Here is a 19998-nt window from a genome sequence, read left to right on the forward strand (position 1 = left end):
CACCAAACTAAATGCACTAAAGAGAAGTTTTAATGAACTTAAGGAGAATACCAAAACATTTCTAAATTTAAAAAAAAAAATGAATCCTGCTACTGATGGGTATATAGCATTAATCTCCCACCCAACCCCCCAAAAAGGACTTGTCTGGCTTCTTGTAAGAGAGGGTGATATTTCATACCTTAATCTTGTGATTAATTCCAAGTATTAAGATCTGTCTTCTGATCCTAAGTGTTCGTAAAGACATATAAAGCATTTTTATGAACTCTTATGCCCTCCTATGTGTAAGGAAGAAAGTCTTACTATGAAGTATAGTTTTAAGTATACTAAATTAAAATGCCTTACATAAGGCACTGAGCTTTCTGTGTTGTTTTCTATAAGATCTTATAAAAGCCTGTTTTATGAGCTTTTATTTTTTGATGTCAGAGCGTTTTTTAAAATCCAAAAGAAATTTTCAAAAGGTAGAATTTTGTAAGTGAATAACTTAGCCAGCCAGATCATCCTTTCCTCAGTCTGTATCCACTACCAGTTTGCCTTCCAGAGATGCATAGATAAGGGGGCGTGGTTACTGATTCTTCTGCTTTCCTGTAGCTCTGCCTGGGGTTTCCCCTCAGAGGAATGTGGTTTGAAAAACTTCCTCCATCACTACTTTGTTTGCAGTATGTATTATTTAATTTTCTTTGATAATATATCAAATATCTATATTAATAATTGAACCAAATTTAGTAATTTAAAATTAACAGCTTGTATATTAGATGTATATTACCTGTGTCCCCTACTAAACTCCCTCACAATAACAACAGTACTTTCCAGTTTTCTACTCACCTCTCTGGCCACACAGCATTCTTCTTTTCTGGCCATTATCCCTCTCGTGGCCATTAATGGACCAAGTGTTAGGTCTTCTTCTCTTTTCTCTTCCTACTCTGTCTTTCCCTCTGAGTGATCTCATCTCTGCCTGTGGTTTCACTTACCACCTCTGAACTCCAGAGGAATGACCTCAAATATCATAAAGGCACCACAGACTATTAGATCTGTCTTAGCTCAGCTTCCCCACTAAGAAGAGCCGGAAGCAGAGCAGCATGTGCTGTTTATTAGGGAACATAATCCCAAGAAGTAGAGTGAGAAACAAGGAGAATATGGTTTGGTAGGGGTGGAGAGTCAATACATGGATAAGCTATTGTGGTACCTGCCACCACTCAGTCCTGTAGGTTCGTTCCTGAAAACTCTCATAAACTGTGCTTTAAGACTGTACCTTGTGAGAGAAGAAAGGAGGAAGAATTTTTTCATTAGTTTCTGTCTCCCATTGGCCAAAGATTCATCTTTCAGTATATTAATTCCTCCATGGGGGTATGCAAGTGGGGAATCCAAAGCAGCGTCAACGCAGATGCCATAGAGTACAAGGCAAGAACTGCCCCCCGAGGCATGAGGCAGGGAACTGTCAGATGTACCTATGTGAAATTGGTGCTGGTTAGACAGCTGGACTAAGATACAAGTAAGGTTGAGAAGATCTGAATGATGCATAAAAGATGCCCAGTATAATACACCCCTTTAACCACTGAGATCCATTCAGGCTCTACATTATACGTAGCTTCCATACTACGATATGAGGCCTCCATTTTTGTGAGAATAAGATGCCTTCACTTCATCCCTGAGATCAGAGGTTATGTGCAATCAGTAACTGAATCCCCTTCAAGGTGGAGCCCTGCCACACTGTCCGAAAGACTTTAGACGGGACAGTTAGAGAAACAAATTACAGTCCCTTCTGCTGCAGCTGACCGTGAGGCAGTAATTGATACACATCTTCTATCACTCATTTTAGGTTTTCTTCACCAGTTTTGTTTTTTTTTTTTTTTTTGCCAGCTTGTGTTGCTTGCCTGCTGAAATAAAATATGACTTATGTCCCTCAAATGTCTGAGCCCTTAGTTGCCTTGCTGTTGTTGATCCATGGTTGTTGAAATATCCCATTTATTGTAACCGCTGGCTATGGAAGCACCACGAGATACCCCAGTGAATCTCTCAAGTTCTGGACATATTTCTTCTTCCCCCATTGTGTAGCTGCAGTCTTTGCTTCTTGTGGTGGTCCAGATTGAATATTCCTAGCAGTAACCTGACTCCCTTTTTTCTACTGATGTACTGGCTTGAGGAATTCAAAGTATCCCAGCAGTATAGTCAGATCTTCAAGTTTATTGGAACTCTTACATGTCCACTGGTGGAAACAATCACCCCTTAACCCCATCTGGAAGTCAGAACCTCTACCTTAGTAGAGATGAAAGTAGGATGGGTAGAAAACACAAGTTTCACAAAGTCAACCCTACTGTCATCCTTCAGTTCCCAGACCTAAGTATTGAAGCTGTTTATAACACAGCACCCTGTAATGGCCATTGCTTCAATGCATATGCATATACCATACCCTGGAGGGCAGTGCTCCAACACTGCAGGAAGTCATCTTCAAGATGTCTCTTCAGCTGATATTTTTTAATAGGCTATTCTGCCTACCTATTGGGCCAGCTGTTATTTGTGAATGGAGTGTACGGTAAAGCAAATGGATTCTAAGGGGATGTGCCCATTGTCATACTTCTTTAGTTATAAGATGGGTACTTTGGGCCTAAGACAGTGTTTGGTGGGATGCCATGTTGATAGATCAGTTATTTTATAAGCCCTGGAATGGTGGTGGTAGCAGAGGTATTGGGAGCTGGAACTAAATCCATGTTCAGATTAGGTATTAATTCTGTAAAGACAAATCATTGCCACCCTGCCACCAACTCTTTTACTCCCTCTACCTCCCCACTCCCATGTAATCTTATGCCAAGTGATCGGTTTCCTTGAGTAATGATGTCATATTGAGTGGTTGTCATCAGTCTCTTTCATTGGCAGTTTACGCATTTAGCAATAGCTTTTCAACATTGGTGAGAGGAAGCACCTTGGCCACTCTATTATGGGCTCACTATGTCAACTCTGTGGTGGCCCAAGTGGAAGGCTGGCTGACAGCCATAGAATAAAGTATCCTATTCACCTCATTGTTGATATTAGACAACACACATGTTGACATGCTCCATTTTGGTAGATACCTCCTGGTAGTTATTGTGAGACACACAAATGCCCCTGATTTGTGCCCAATTCATTTTTCCAGACCTCCTTATCACATCATCTTTCACTGTTGTTTTCTAGGCCCCTGATCAAACAGCCAGACACCATTTACCACTGCCAATGAATCAGAGTATATCTGTAGCTCAGGTCATTTCTCCCTCCATTTGAAATGGATGACCACCACATATACTGCTCCGGTTGTTCTCATCTGCCAAACTTCTTTTACCACAGTTCTTTAGGTCTGCTCCTGAATAAGGCTGCAGTGCAACAGCAGTTCATATTTGGCTAGATCGGAAATCCTTTTTGCCTTGACAGTTGGTCATGAAGGAGAAAGGCGTTAGTGATGTGGGAGTCTGAGTTACCTGTGAATGTAATTTTTTCATGCCTCCTGAATGTGCCTGTGCCTAATCCCAAATATACCATTTCCATCATACAACGGGTTGTTTCTCTGCCCGTCTTGCTACTCAGTGGGTACTTTAAGTCACAGACTTATTTGTTGGCACATAGTGAGGCATGCAAATTCTCTTAGGGCCCTGTAACATACTAGGATTTGTTTTTCTAGCAGAAAGTTCTTCTCTGCCACTGAACCCCAAGGATCAGCATTGTGACTTCTCTTTTGGTGCTTGCCAGAGACTCCACAGCATTTTTATCCGTCAATGATAGGTCTTCAGCCTGGGGGAACAGAGAGAGACCCCATTTCTTAAACAGAGAAAAAAAATAGGTCTTGTACCATGAGATCCATTGGTCACAGATGCACCATAGCTGGGACCTGCTACAGAGTCTTCTTTATCACACTCGGTCACTCTTGAAACTGGCATCCTTCGGGGTCTCTGATAAATGGATCAAAACGGTGTTAAAAGTACTGCATATAAATATACAGCCTCCAGGATCAAAGAAGGTCCACCTTTTTCTTAACAGTAGATTTGAGAGATGCAAAAACTTGTTTACCTTAAAGAGGATGTTCTCAGCATGGCCTGGAGCCCTGAACTCCTTAAAAAGTTTGGCAGTGTGTGCCCATAACCCTTAATTTTTGTGAAATGTCTGCTATGTGTATTTTACTTAAGCTGGCTAGGGTACTTTCCATTTTGTGCTAACCAGATGCAGTTAGTATGCTATCATGAATATAATGGAATGTGAAGATATCCCGGCTGACTGAATTTTGAGTGAGATCGTAAGAGTTAACATTGCCCTGGGGAAGGATATTATGGTCTCTTTGCCATTGTGAAAGTTACCTGCCTTTCATCTTCCCTACTGATAGGGACTGAGAAGAAAGCATTCACCATATCAGTAGCTGAGTACCAAATTGATACCATATCTGGCATGCCAGTTACTACTGGGGATTCTACCAGTTTAAGGTTACAGTTATTCATTATCCGTCTGTTTGGTTTTTTTTTTTTTTTTTTTTTATCCGTAGGGTCATAAAAGGTATAGAAAGAGAATATGGTGAGGACCACCACCCCTGCATCTTTAAGTCTTTGATAGTGCTCTTCTCTGTAGTTCCCGAGACTTGGGTCAAAACTTTATTAATTAATTGGCCTCCATAAACCCTCACTCTGACCAGAAGAGCGTGCTGGCATTTCAGGTCCCCCAGTATTGGTGTAGTTTAGAACTCAATTGTAATAGGCCTCAAAAAGTTTGGGATTTCCCTTTCCCCAGTGCAGTTATCCATGCAAAACAGTCCTTACATGCTGTTTCCTCTGCCTGACACATTTCATTCTCCCTGCTTTCCTTAGGTATTATCTGATTTCCCTGACTAGGTCAGATCAGCCATATGTTACTAAATGATGTGCATCTTTTTTTCAGTACTTACAACAGTAGTAGTTTTATATTAATTTTCTGTGTTTATTTAATTAATGCCAGTCTCTATGTAAGTTCCCTGAGAGTAGTGTCATTACCTGTTTGTGCACTGCCCTGTCCCTTGGTGCCTGTGTCACATATTAGGTGATTAATAACTATTTGAGGAATGAATAGTTAGATGGGTGAAAGGAAGTGAAAGAAAAGCATTTTGTCCCAACATCAGGAGCCCTGTTATTGTATCTCATCAGTTCTAAGAAGCCTATTTTTACATATTTTAACCTTTCTGATATCAATTACTTTGGGACAAGTAGTTATTGTGAGTTAGTTGTAGTTATGCATTCTTTAAAAATCTTGCAAAAAGAATGTCAGCAGTTTGGAAGAAAATTCCAGGGGCAGTTGTGGAGAGAAATTTCAAGATACACTACCTCAACAATGCTCTTGATGGCACAAAGGACTACATTTTGTGGAAAAACAATTATCTCTGAGCTGAAAAATGATTCAGAAGAATTAAACTCCAAGTGTGAAGAAGTTTTAGTAATTCTTTTTTTGTTCATGTAATCCTTTCTTTGTGCTCAAGTGTGATATATAGCAAACATGACTGTTACACTTATCAAGAGACCCCTTTCAAGAAGAGTAATATAATTTTTGTGTGATAAGAAATCACTATATTACAGCCTAATTTAGTGAGCTTTTCTCAGTGGTTTGTAAAGTGATGGTGCACCTTATTTTATAGTCAATGAAATATGGTATTACATGGTTGTCTTCAGAGCCTTTATTAACATTCATGGCATTTTGTGTGAATTAGAAAAATGTATTCCTTTCTGCAGGCCAAAACAGCCTTGCAGCTGCATGTGAGGAAGAAAGGTTATTAGGAAACTTTGACAGTATAGCAAAGTAAATATAAAATCAATGTTCAGAGGAGTAAGTTTCTGTTTTTAAAAATTATCTCTTTAATTAAAGGCAGTATTTTTTTTTCTAATGGATAAGCCAGTTGTGAAGAAGTTTTTATCTGTGGATATCAGGGTCTTTTAGGGTAGACAGGAAGTCTAACAGAGTTTAATTTTGACTGAGTCTGTCGAGGTTAGTGACCCCGTAATCTTTTCAGAATGAAGCTCTTGCCACGAAGCCTTCCAGTTCCACCCCTAGGAACTTAGGTCAACTCCTGAAAGGCATTTCTGTTTTTGATGTTTGATGTAAATCTTTATTCTTACATCTTTGGCAATGTTTTTGTTTGACCATATACTCTGGAACTACTTTTCACACTGATAGTGTCAAAAATTTAATTTTCACAACTAGCAGCAGGTAAGCCTAACTTACCCATGTTATGGAGATTTGGAATACTATTAGGAATAGTCTACTAAGTTAGTATTTTTTAATACATGACCTAATATGAGGATTCTGATTGGAAGCTAATTGGGAATGATATTAGTTCCTGTCGTGAAAGTATTTCAACTTTTACAGTAACATTAAATACTTGGGATCTAGATATTTTCTATTTAAAATAAATTTCTCTCACCAATTGGAGGGTGATAATTTGTAATTCAAATGTGTTACCTAATTTTGTATAAAATACCTTTTCCTGGTTATGTTTCCTTTCTTTATCCTCATCTTTCTTGTAATGTAGACAGAAAAGTGCAGTTTGTAGTAAGCTGACCTCTGAATTGCTCTTTGGGAGCGTAGTTACAAGGGATTAAAGGGGCCCTCTGCAACTCCAGAGATTAGGAGATTAAGTCAGGCAGATCCAGGATCTCTGGTACCTGGTGGGAAAAATAATGTCACAAATTTTAGTGCACAGTTCCATCTGTTTACTTCTTCTGTCTCCTTTCTTGGAGTTCACCACAAACTTATATTTTCTGGTTTTTCAATGGCTTTTAGAAATGTAATATCCATCATCCATAGAGTTCTATTGAATTGCCCTCTTACCTAACAGCCCAAAGGTATACTATGGCATGCCATTGTAAGTATACTAGCAGAAAGAGTTTAAACTGGAAAAATTTAGGGTAACTCTTATGGCATTACAGAACGTCAGTAGGAATACACCTATCACTTTCCATTGAACTGTGTGTGCTGCAGCCCAAACAATGAAAATGCTCATTTTGTAGAAGTGAAAACATTTGGTAAGTGTAAGGGGGATTTTTATTGTTAGCCACATTTTTAGATATCAACAGACTGCTTACATGGATTTCTTAAAAATTTTTTGGAGAATAAAACAACAGATCTTTGTTTCCATTGACCATTACATCATCATTATTTTAGTACCAAATCTCAGAATGTTCACAAGAAGTAACTGGATGGAATTTAAATATTTGCTTCTTATTTTCAACTCTGATTTTAAAAATTCGGATGGGGTAAGAATGAGAAGCTGTGGAACTTGGTGAGGTTTTTGTTATATCTGATTACATTTGCTCTTTTCACCACTGTCTGTTACTGATAATTAAAAGACAATTATCCTTATTTTTTATCCTGATTGGAAAAACCATTATCTGGTTCAATCTAATCTTTTCAGCATTTAATAAGATTGAAAATTCTTATGACAGTTCTGGTAATACTGCAGGTGATTTTTTCCTAGGGGACTCAGGGGCAGACAGAATCAATCACACATCATGATTCATCAGTTCTAAAAACTTATCTCATATAATTCTGTTTTGAATTAACTAAATAATCCAGTAAGCAGTGTTTTTAATATCTCAACGGGGAAAAGTTTTAAAGCTGGCTAACAATGAAATTTCCCATTTTTCACTGGCAGAAACCCCAGCCCTATAATGGGGAAGGTCCCACCAGTGCGGAGGCCCCACATGGGGACCCCTCCCCCTAGTGAGGAAATGTACCCCTGAAGAGGCATCCTCCTGGCCACTGGGCCCACTGCTACCCTGCCACGTGAGTACAGCAATGGCTTTGAGGACCTCAGCAATTTTTTCATTTATTGGTGGCCATTTGTCTGTTATGGGAATTGGCCAGGCCGTCTTCCTTTTCATCCCTTAAACATTTCAGAAAATGAGATAAAAGCCTGCTTTTATCCCCTTGCTTCTTTTTTGCAAGTTTAATAAAAAGAATTTGTTTGGATAAAGAGGTTAGGACTATTGGGTAGAACTCAGTTAAGTGTGATTAGTGAAACAATCTGTTCATATCTAGAGCAGTACTTTTCAGTACAACTTTCTGCACTGATGGAAATGTTCTCTCTCTGTGCTTCCAACATTGTAACACTAACCTCATGTGGCTACTGAGTCCTTGACGTGTGGTTCTAGTACAACTGAAGAATTTAATTTTAATTAATTTTAATTAATTTTGCTACATGTGGCTAGTGGCTACTAAATGGGGCAGTTCATGTCTATATTTAATGCTGTGTGCCTCTTTTAACATTGCTATAGATACACCTCTTTACCTCTTTCATTATCATCTCAGAAAAATTTGCCTTGTATTATATTACTAGAAATATGATTCTTTAAAAGTGAGGAAATAAATTAAGAATTCTGATATCAAAATGTATTCACCAACATTGCCCTTATGTAGTTTTAGTTACCTTATGATATTAAGAAAATTTATTTAATTTTAAAATTATGAAGTATCTATTTAAATATTCCGGCTTTATTTTCTACTTTACGTTTTAATTTGCAACTTAATATGTATATAGAAGTAATTACACACATTAAAATAACTTTTTCATTTTATTTCTTTTTAATGAGAATATAAAACACCTTACATTAGTATAGTATGTGCAGTGCTATTACTAAAACAATAAATTTAGCACTTACTAATTATAATATGGTATTTACAAGTTTCAAAGTTTTATTCCAGTAGGTGGGTTACTGAAATTACAGATTAATTAAATTTGTAGTTTTACTGGCTGAGAATAAATGACTTTCCACTATTGAGCTATCACTAAAAGTTGCTGACATCATAAAATGTTAATAAGAGAAACTTCTTGGAAGATTTGGGAACTTTTTGTACTATCTTTGCAATTTTTCTGTAAATCTGCAACTATTGTAAAACTTTTTAAATGTTTATTAACTGGGCACGGTGGTGCACACTTGTATTGGAGGCTGAGGTGGGAGGATCCGTTGAGCCCAGGAGTTTGAGTTTAGCCTGAGCAACATAGCCTCTCCTCTTAAAAGCAAATAAATAATTTTTTTTGAAAAATTGCTCATGTCAAATTTGTCCTGCTATCCATTTAGATTCATTAATTTAGCTGTATATGCATCTAAAATAAGAATTCTTAGATCAGTAATAGAGGTAGTACTTACCTAAGTCTCATTACATGGCATCCTCGAAACATCCTGAGCAATACTTATAATTTTACAGATGAGGAGGCTGAGGCATGGAATAAAGAGTAATTTGAGCAGGGTTGCTGAGCTGATCGGTGTGGCAGGTCTGCAATTGATAGCCAGGAAATTTAGGTCTTCAGTGAGCGCTTCTGACGACTATACCGTGTTATCTCTTAAGGAGTCTTGATTATGTAATGTAAGATTTTGTCTCTCTGCTATCAGTGTAGTAAGATGTACTTTTTGCTATAAGAAATCCAAAATAAGCTAATATCCTGGTAATAAAGTACTTTTACAACATGAAAAGTATAGAGGTATGCTTTATTTCTATTTCAGTAATTCAAACTTGATTCTCATACAATCGTTAGTTATTTTTATGAGCGAGGAATATGTTCATAGTCTCTCAACAAGAAATCTCTATGTTGGTGGAGTTTTAAAAAATATATTTATGCTTCCCTAAGATAGTGGCCAAGTTTGAAAAAAATAGAGCAGTACCTAAAGGGTAAGAGGGATGGATGTTGTTGCTTATCTCATAAAGATAAATTTTTATCATTTTTATTGAATTATTACAGGGTTGTTTTACCATCAACCTGTTAATGTTATTCTTACTGGAAATTAAATTATAGAGATTTAATTGTTAAAATCTAAATATGGAAAAGGTTGGTGGTGAGTTTTCAACAATTCTTTGAGATGTTTTTCTGGGCTTTGGAGAGTATTTCTTTGGCTGAAAGTGGGGAAGAAAAAGGATGGAGTTACTTGCATAGTTCAAAAATTGTTGCAGCTGGAATATGTTAGTTCATATCCTCATTTAATGAATGTTCTATATCCACTGGTGAATTCACACTTTCAACAGCACGATATATCTAGCTACTGTGTGGATTTAAGGTCCTACATTTACTTGTCAGCAAGAGACACAGTAGGAAGTTCTTTAAGAAAATGTGAATCATAAACAGGTGCAATTTTTATACAGAATCTTTTTTTTTTCTGTTAGTGAGTAGACTTTTGAACCAGCTGACAGTCCTCCATTGACTCTTCCAAAGTATTTGAATTTGGAACATGGTGTTTTCTTGATAAGAATGTATGTTTTGAATCTATATTAAAATTTTTGAGAGACTTTAGAAAGTTTAGTGTAAAAGTCGTGTTTATAAAATATGGGAATTCTAGTGCACACTGACCAGTTAAAATTTATATTCAGATTGTTGATTTAGAATAACACTGTAACTTGATCCTAGTTATAATCTTTATTAGGCTAGGTGATAACTGTTACCCAAATGGTTGAGTTGCTACTGCATAATTCTGTGTTGGTCAAAGATGAGAACAACTTTATCCCTGATGGGAGAAAGACATTTTAATGTTATCATTCTGTGAAAAGGAGGGTATGTCAGGAGGTCTGGTGAGGGCAGTAGGGAGGAAAAAGACTTGAAGGACCATAATTTACTACAAAATGCCTATGATCTAACAGAGTTAGGATGGACAAGTTCTTTTTATGCCGTCTCTTGAGTTCTGTTCTCCACAGCACGCTGGCACACCCCTTTACTCAAATAGCAACTATGTATTCTGGATTTCCTGGAACAGGCCAACTTTTTGGTATTTCATCCTGTTTTTCCCATAAGTGCACTAATACTGCTTAGACTCTATGTCCCATTTTTAATAGTATCCTTAGAAAAATAACTGCTCTTCAAAGTAAATGATAGGTAAAATATTTTGGAGCATTTGGCAGTGGGGAAATAATAAGTATTCTTAAGGCTTAGGCACCGAAGTTTGAATGTGCCTTCCTATAACTGGCAAGTGCTACTTCTGGTAGAGTATCCTAATGGTTTAATATATACCATTTTAAATATGTCAGTTAAATCAACGTAGTTGTGGTGTTTTCAACTTATTTAAAATATTGAATTTTTTGTTAAAATGAGCAACTATTTTTTAATTCATCCATTTCCGTTGGAAACAATATGTTTGGAGGCTCTCCATTTGTTTCTGTTTTTTTTTGTGGTGAGGAAAGAAAAAAATACTTTATATCTTTAACCTGTTTTTTAAAAAGAAAGTTGGCATGAATATGTCTTAAGGGAAGTTAAACAGAATATATACCCAAAGTATTAACAAATGAAAAACAAAGACTACAGTTTTAGCCTACTTTCTCTTTCCACATATTTCACTTCTCATTTAAAAATTGTATGCATCTTTGAAGACTAGAACTGAGGTGCTTACAACAGTGGTTTGAGGATATTTTAAAATCCCTTTTTATATATTTCTGAATCTGGAAAGGGAATCATTGATGATCTTAATAAAATATAAATCAAGATATTGCATATTAACGACTTTATAAAACAAACTGTGAATACATTTGTCATTATAGATTTTCCTAACCCTCTGCAACCAACAGAGCTTTCTTGTAGAGCAGTGTATTACAGCTTTCCTTTCAAAATGTATTTGTACATTGGCCAAGGAAGCATCTCTTCATTGTGAAGATGTTACAAATATCTTGATAGGGGAAGAAACTTTTTCTGAGCTTATTATAGTGGTGCTAGTTACCTTTTAAAGAAGATACACGTCTAGTAGTAAACACCTAGAATGTCTGCTATAAAATAACTTAAAGGTATAGTTTTCTATACTCTTTAATTTTACAGAAGGGAGGCAGCATTCTGAGATATTTGCATATTGTGTAAGATTATGTTGCTAAATGTAAGTATTTAATTTGTTAGAATCATAGACTCCTAGAACTTGAGGAATAAGAGGAGACTTGTTTTACCTTTGTCAGTTTTGTTCTGTTTGAATTTTTAAGAAGCTAATGAATTTTTAGATCCCCATTAGTTGCTCTTTAAATTATTTTAATACTTTATAAACTGATTTTTTAAATTTTAACAGTACTTAAATGTAATAACTTTATACCATGTGTTTATTAGTTATTAACTTACAGTAGAAAATCTACTTGAAACAGCTTATTATTTTAAAAGAACAAAACGCTTTGAAAAAGAATGGTTTATTTTAAAAGGTGCCACCCATGAATGCAATCCATATTTTAAAAGCTGAGAGTTGGGTAAGACCTTTAAGGGAGGTCTCATGTCTGAGCGCTTTCCATCTACCTGCTGAAGTCTGATTTAAGTCTCATCTGCTACCTTGTATCTTTAGTCTCATAAAGAACTTTAAGACAAAAATTATGGAATAAATTGCCAGAAAAGCTAAGAGAAGTTTTGCTTACAGTACAAGAAATACCTCATATAACACAGACTGTGTTTCATCCTGCTAATGGGATAGCCCAACAGCTTTCTTCCATCCGTGTGTGATGTCTGGGTATGCCTATATGAGAAATAATACGTGAATATGCACCTAGAATAACAGCTCTTTTAAAGTTTTGTTTGAACTAAGTGCAAGTTTGGCAAGATGCCATACTATTTTTTGATAGCATACAAATTCAAGCACTAAAATAAAAGACTACCTCCTGGTAAAGTGTTGTACAGTGTACTTCCTAATTTAGCTGAAGCTAAACTCAAAATTTGAACTTTGCATAGAAAATGTTAGGAATTTTTTTTGTCTGTTTACCTTACGTTTTGCAGTATTTTGTTTCTTTATGGGTGTATCCGAGATTATGAAAAGTCATTGAAGCCAAGTGTGGGGACTTGATCCCTAAGCAGAATTCACTGGATTATCATGTCTTCCTGCCTAACCCAGGTCTCTGCATGACAAGAATAGTTTTAATGCAGATTTTGCTCTCTTCTCTTTCTGAGAGACCTGAAAAGTTTAGCTTTCCAAAGGCTTCCCTGCATGCGAGGTAAATAGATGGAGCAGAACTATCAACAATCTATAATTAAGCAGCTTGACTACCTGTCAATAGGAAATGCCCTCTGTGTCTACCACACAAGTGAATTACAGGAACCTCAGAGATACTGCAGGTTCGGCTCGAGACCACAGCAATAAAGCAGATGTTGCAACACAGTGAGTCACACAAATTTTTTGGTTTCCCAGTGCATCCAAAAATTATGTTTATACTGTATTGTAGCCAATTAAGTGTGCAGTGACTTTATGTCTAAAGAGGACAATGCATATACCTTAATAACAAGTACATTATTGGGCTAAGCACAGTGGCTCATTCCTGTAATCCCAGCACTTTGGGAGGCAAATGCAGGAGGATCACTTAAGGCTAGGAGTTCAAGACCAGCCTGGTCAACATAATGAGACCCCCATTTCTACAAAAAATTAGCCGGGCTAATTTTTTAAGTTTTCAGCTTAGGCGGAGGATCACTTGAGCCCAGGAGTTCAAGGCTGCTATGAGCTGGGATCACGCCACTGCACTCCAGTGTAAGCAACAGAGCGAGACCCTGTCTCTTAAAAAGAAAAATAAGAAAACTTTATTACTGAAAGATCCTAACGATCATCTGAGCCTTTAGGGAGTCATAATCTTTTTGCTGGTGAAGGGTCTTTCCTTGATGTGGATGGCTGCTCACTGATCAAGGTGGTGGTTGCTGAAGGCTGGAGTAGCTGTGGTAATTTCTTACAATAAAACAACGATGAAATTTGTTGCATCAGTTGACTCATCCTTTCACAAAAGATTTCTCTGTAGCATGAACAGTTGTTTGGCAGTATTTTACCCACAATGTAACTTCTTTCAAAATTGGAGTCAGTCCTCTCAAACTCTGCCACGGCTTTATCAACTGATATTATGTAATATTCTGAATCCTTTGTTGACATTGCAACAGTGTTCATAGCATCTTTACCAGGAGTAGATTCCATCTTAAGTAATCACTTTCTTTGCTTATTCCTAAGAAGCAACTCTTCATTTGTTCAAGTTTGATCATAAGATTGCAGCAAATCAATATCTTTAGGCTCCACTTATAATTCTAGTTCTCTTGCTATTTCTACCATCTTTGCAGTTACTTCCTCCATTGAAATCAAACCCCTCAAATCATCCATGAGAGTTGGAATCAACTTCTATCAAGCTCCTATCAACTTGATATTTTGACCTCATCTCATGATCACGAATGTTCTTAATGGCGTCTAGAATGGTGAATCCATTCCACAAGATTTTCAGTTGACTTTGCCCAGATCCATCAGAGGAATCACTGCGAATGGGAGCTATTGCCTTACAAAATGTATTTCTTCAATAATAACACTTGAAAGTCAAAATTACTCTTTGGTTTATGGGCTACAGAATGGTTGTTGAGTTAGCAGGTATGAAAGCAACATTCATCTCCTTATACATCTCCACCAGAGCTCTTCGGTGACCAGGTGCATTGTCAGTGAGCAGTAGTGTTTTGAAGAGAATCTTGTTTTTGAACAGTAGGTCTCAACAGTGGACTTTAAAAATATTCAGTAAACTGTGCAGTAAACAAGTGTGCTGTCATCGCAGCTTTATATAGCGTAGGTAAAGTTGATTTAGCATAATTATTTAAGGCCCTAGGATTTTTGGATTAGTAAGTGAGCATTGGCTTCAACTTAAATGTCACCATCTGCATTAGCCCCTAACAAGAGGGTCAGCCTGTCCTTTGAAGCTTTGAAGCCAGGAGCTGACTTCTCCTCTCTAGCTCGGAAAGTCCTAGATGGCCTCTTCTTCCAAAAGAAGGCTGTTTGTTACCCACACAATGGGTGGGTTTGATTGCTTGGTGGATGACAGTCCATTTACCATAATCGAGGATTCAGCAAGGAGATTTTATTACTTGTAATAAGAAGAATGCTGAGGATAGTTCCCAAAGCAAAACCTTCCTGAACAATGGTGAAAACAAGCTTTTATTGGGCTGGTTAACTGAGTCATTGTATGTTGAGGTGGAGTAAAGGCAGCACCCGAGCAGTCCCTGATGATGCTTCTATATATGCTGCGTGTATAGAAAATGGGGGCTAAGCTTCTCTCTGGGCAGGGATTTTAGTATGCATTGAAGGGAGTTTGCCAAAGTTCATCTGCAACTGACGCATCTCTAGATCCAACTGGTTTTTCTGGGGCTAAGCTTCTTCCTGGAAGTTTTTTTGAAATAACAAAAGCTCAAGGTATAACACTTACAAGTGAGTGCTTTTTCACAGTGGATACCCAAAAACCCAGGGACCCTAAGCTACATTTTGTCTGCACTGAAAATCTAGACTTAAATAGCCACCTTCATCAGTGATCTTAGCTAGATATTCTGGATAACTTGCTGCAGCTTCTCCATCAGCTGCTGCTGCTTCATCTTGCACTTTTTTTTGTTTTTTGGAGGTAGGGTCTTGCTCTGTCACCAAGGCTGGAGTGCAGTGGCGTGATCACAGCTCACTGCAGCCTCAACCTCCCAGGCTCAAGCTCCTCAGCCTCTCAGGTAACTTGGACTACAGGCATTCACCACCATATCCAGCTACTTCTTCTATTTTATGTAGAGATGGGATCTCCCTGTGTTGCCCAGGCTGGTCTCAAACTCCCACATTCCACTTTTATGTTAGGAAGACTGCTTTTTCCTTTGTGTCTCATGAGCTAAACCTCTATAGCTTCCAGCTTTTCTTCTGCAGTTTTCTTACTCTCTTAGCCTTCGCAGAATTGAAGTTAGTTACAGCCTTGCGCTGGATTAGGTTTTGGCTTGAAGGAGTGATGTGGCTGGTTTGATCTATTCAGACCACTAAAACTTTCTTCATATCAGCAATAAAGCTCTTTCACTTTCTTATCATTCATGTGTTCACTGAAGTAGCACTTTTAATTTCATGCAAGAACTTCTCTTTTGCATTCACAACTTGGCTAACTGTTTTGCACAAGAGGTCTAGTTTTCTGCTTGTCTGGGCTGTCAGCATGGCTTCTTCATAGGCTTCATCATTGCTAGCTTTTGATTTAAAATGAGAGAGATGTGATTCTTCCTTTCATTTGAACACTTAGAGGCTATTGTAGACCTAATTTCAGTATTGTTGCGTCGCAGGGAACAGGAAGGCCCAAGGAGAAGGGGAGAGAGTAGAAGGTGGCCAGTCAGTGGAGCAGTCACACAACATGTATCGAGAGTTTGCCATCTTCTATGGGTGTGGTTCATGGTGCCCCAAAACAATTAAGATTCTAACATCAACAATCACTGATCAGAGAGATCGCTGGTGGTGGTGGTGGTGGTGGTGGTGGTGGTGGTGGTTGTTGTTGTTTGAGACGGAGTCTCTATCGCCCAGGCTGGAGTGCAGTGGCGCCATCTCAGCTCACTGCAAGCTCCGCCTGCCGGGTTCACACCATGCTCCTGCCTCAGCCTCCCGAGTAGCTGGGACCACAGGCGCCCATCACCACGCTGGGCTAATTTTTTGTATTTTTAGTAGAGATGGGGTTTTACTGTGTTAGCCAGGATGGTCTCAATCTCCTGACCTCGTGATCCGCCCACCTCGGCCTCCCAAAGTGCTAGGATTACAGGTGTGAGCCACCGCGCCTGGCCAGAGATCACTGTTCACAGATCTCATACTAATGAAAAAGTTTGAATTAGTGCAGTAATTACCAAAATGAGACACAGAGACATAAAGTGAGCATGTACTGCTGGAAAATGGTGCTGATGGACTTTCTTGACACCTGATTGTCACATATCTTCAATTTGAAAAACAAAAAAATGCAATATCTAAGAAGCACCGTAAAACAAAGGGCAATAAAACACGGCATGCCTGTAAATGGCAGTAAATCAGAAAGTAAGGTCATCATGAGGTTCCTATATCATGTGTGCATTCTGATTTGATAATTCTGATTCCATCTCATTTTTTACAAATGGGTTTGAACTAGATCTCCATTTGTGTTCAATTTTCTGCCTTAATTATGTGCCCATACAGATTTAAACTAAACACAGATCTTCTGTGGTCACAAATTATTGACCTCTGTTATGTTTTCAAAGCCTGCCAAATACTTTAAGTAAGCAAATCTATCCATGGAAAATTCTATAAGGGCTACCCTTTGGCTCCTAAGAGATAGTTTTTGGAATTTTTTTATGGTTCAGATATTTTTGTAGCTGATTCAACAAAATGAACTTTTTAATTTCATAAACATTCTTCTCATTGACAAGGCAGATGTGACTAAAAGAGATGAGAAATAATAAGAACAAAACTTGTTACTGATACATATAGTTGAATTACACCCAAAAATAGTTCAACAGTTATTAAAAACTGCTTTTTTGAGAACTTTTAGCTCTTCTCCAACTTGTAATCATGAGAAAATAAGTGAGTAGTAACAGGACCATAATGTTTTTACAAATCCAGACACCTTTATGAAACATTTAAACTATCCAGAACGTAAAAAGGAGAAGAAACAAAGGCTGTTGAACAGTAGGAGGGCTATATAAACACCTCCAGGACCTCTGTAATAACCTTTCTATTGCTCTGAGTTCTGCCATACAAACTCAGCATGTGAACAAATTATTCATGCCTCGGGACATATTAAGTTGTTATGGAAGTTTCTGGAGAAGGTCCACCAGCTGGTGTAGAGAGCTATTTTGCCTGTCTTAATTGCATATTCCTTAGAATTTCTGTGATCTGTAAAATCGCAGGCCAGAATGAAGCCCCCTTTTCTTAGCATACTTTCTGTGTAATGAATTTAAATATTTGTGTTAGTTTTAAATGCTGAAAGGGGAATGAAAAAAAATTACAAAATGTACTTATGCCAACAGTTCTCTTATGGTTAACTAAAAGTATTTTTCCCCATTCCTTAATTTCAAATCCTGTGAGTTTGGGTAGGGGTCGAGTGCTTGTCTCTGTTTTCCAAATGAAGAATTCCTGGCAAGAAGATTAAGTGACTAAGCCGGCTGTGTACATGGCAGTGCTGGGCAGCAGCAACACAGTAGATGACACTTTCAAGTTATTTTTATTATTTGGACCAGATGCATCTGGTTGGCACCTTGAGCCAATGAGCTGCCCTCCCAGAGGTCCTCTGGCACAGAATTGGAGTTAGTATGAACACCAGAGATATAAGATAAAGCATTTCAGAGAACACTGAAGTTAAATTCAGAAGACCTCATTCACATCTCTGCCAAATCACAACTACCTTAAGTGAGCTTGTGAAAATGCGCTTTTTGCCTACCATACAGAATGCTTATCACAGAAGTGTTATTGCTTAGTACTCAGGCTCAAATTCTGGCTCTACAACCTCTGTTCTGTTTCCTCATATGTAAAATGGAAATGGCACCTACATTATGGGTTACATGCGAGGCTCTTAGCATGATTTTTGGTGTGTAATAAGCCCTCTATTGATAGGAACAGCAGTAGCAGGTAGACTCTATATTGATATATAATCAGAGGAGTTACAATATGTATATAAATACCGATAATATAAAGTGGAAAGTTATGCATTCAATTAGCATAATTTAAAGCTCTTTGGTAATTACAGAAAGGAGAGATTATTTTCTTTTGGGTTGTCATGGGAGTGTTCCTGAAAGAGGTGGTTTTTGAGCTTGGCCTTAAAGGATGAAGATTTGGGCATGCCAAGGCAGGAGGAATTGAAAGTGGTGAAGGACATTCCAAGAAGAAGCAGAAGTGTGAACAAAATTAAATGTTTTATCATTGTTATTTTATTGATTTTTAAGAAATTATATTTAATTCACCTTTTGGCCATGTATGTATGTTTATATGAACATAGCCTGCTGTTTTAGGTTCTGAGAATCCTTACAATACTGTTTTAAATCAAGATATTTTTGATTTCTGCAGAAAACCAGTAAGGTTTTCTTATTTCCATTTTATAGATAAGGAAACAGACTTCACACTAGTGATTGGTAGAATGGGAGAACCCCAGTGTATAAGCACTAAATTTCATGTGTTTCCACAGCACTGCACTGCCTCTGTTAGACTTTAAGTAGAAATAATTTACACACCGTCCACCATATTCCCCAAAGTTGCTTTCTTAAAATGTGTGGCATATTTAGAAAAGTTGGAGAAAGTCTCGGTGACCTCATATAGATGTAACCCCAAACCCACAAATAACTAGTCATAGTACTTAAAAGGCAGCCACAAATCATGTGTTTTATTAACACCATGTGTGGTGCTCCATCTTGCCACCGTTAGCCAAGCTCTTGCCTCAAGTTTGCTAGGTAACTTATCTTTGTCTTTAGTTTATTAAATTAAAACTGACCAATAAATGAGTATCAGGTCTTAGAGCTGTTCAGCAGTGTGGTAGAGGAATCCTATTCTTGACTCTTGACTCATACATATTTGAAAAAAAAATAAGGATTTTTATTTATTCATATTAGGAAATTATGTTAATAAATTCATAATAGTCAAATCATTTAAATAGATACCTACTTCTAGACCATTGTTCTCCCAGCAATTTTCTATTTACCATTAGTATGATTTCCTTTATACAGGTTTTTTTTAATGTAGATAAAATATCCTGAGTTGCATTTATAATACATTTTAGTTGAAGCAATAAGACACAAAAGCTCATGTTTTTTCATAAGGTCTCTAAGACAGATATCTCCAGTATTAGATGAACACAGTGTATTTCCCAGGATTATGCTATTGCATACTTGTTACATTTTGAATATGAAGTTAACATATTCTGCTTGAAATGTCTTGATTACATTGCATGTTCTGAAAACTCAAACTATTCCAATAAAACTGTTACTTCAAGAGTAATATGACTATATGATGTGACATTTATATTAAATGTGATTTTCATGTACTGTATAGGGTTTTTTGTATAACAAACTAATTTCATCCAATTCTGGTTGCATTGTAAACTTGGGGGTGAGCTAAAGTGATTTGTCATAAATATCCCACTATGGAATTTATTCTGAATGAATTGTAGCATATTTCTCATTTTTAATAATATAAGGTTAATATCATTCAGTATGAAATATATTTTCAAAAATGCCTCCCCAATGCTGTCACTATTGTATAAATTTTAACTTGATGTCTGCATTGCCTAACACTTTCTGTACTTTATCTGCTGTTCTTAATATTGCTAAGATTCTTATAG

General features: G+C 37.2%; 1 protein-coding gene across 5 annotated transcripts in view; it reads left to right on the plus strand.

The window, feature by feature from the left end:
* Positions 1-19998, plus strand: part of UBE2E2 (ubiquitin conjugating enzyme E2 E2) — a 388828-nt gene that overhangs the window by 239133 nt on the left and 129697 nt on the right. The window contains exon 4 of one of the 5 annotated variants that reach the window (XM_047448845.1): positions 7628-7758. The exons of the other annotated variants lie outside the window; for them this stretch is intronic. Within the exon in view, the coding sequence (XP_047304801.1) occupies positions 7628-7715 (88 nt within the window). The 3' untranslated portion in view covers positions 7716-7758. Of the gene's footprint in view, positions 1-7627; positions 7759-19998 lie in introns of those variants that run through there. 5 annotated transcript variants of the gene reach the window in all.

The sequence above is a fragment of the Homo sapiens genome, chromosome 3, assembly GCF_000001405.40.
Source record: "Homo sapiens chromosome 3, GRCh38.p14 Primary Assembly".
Lineage (NCBI taxonomy): Eukaryota > Metazoa > Chordata > Mammalia > Primates > Hominidae > Homo > Homo sapiens.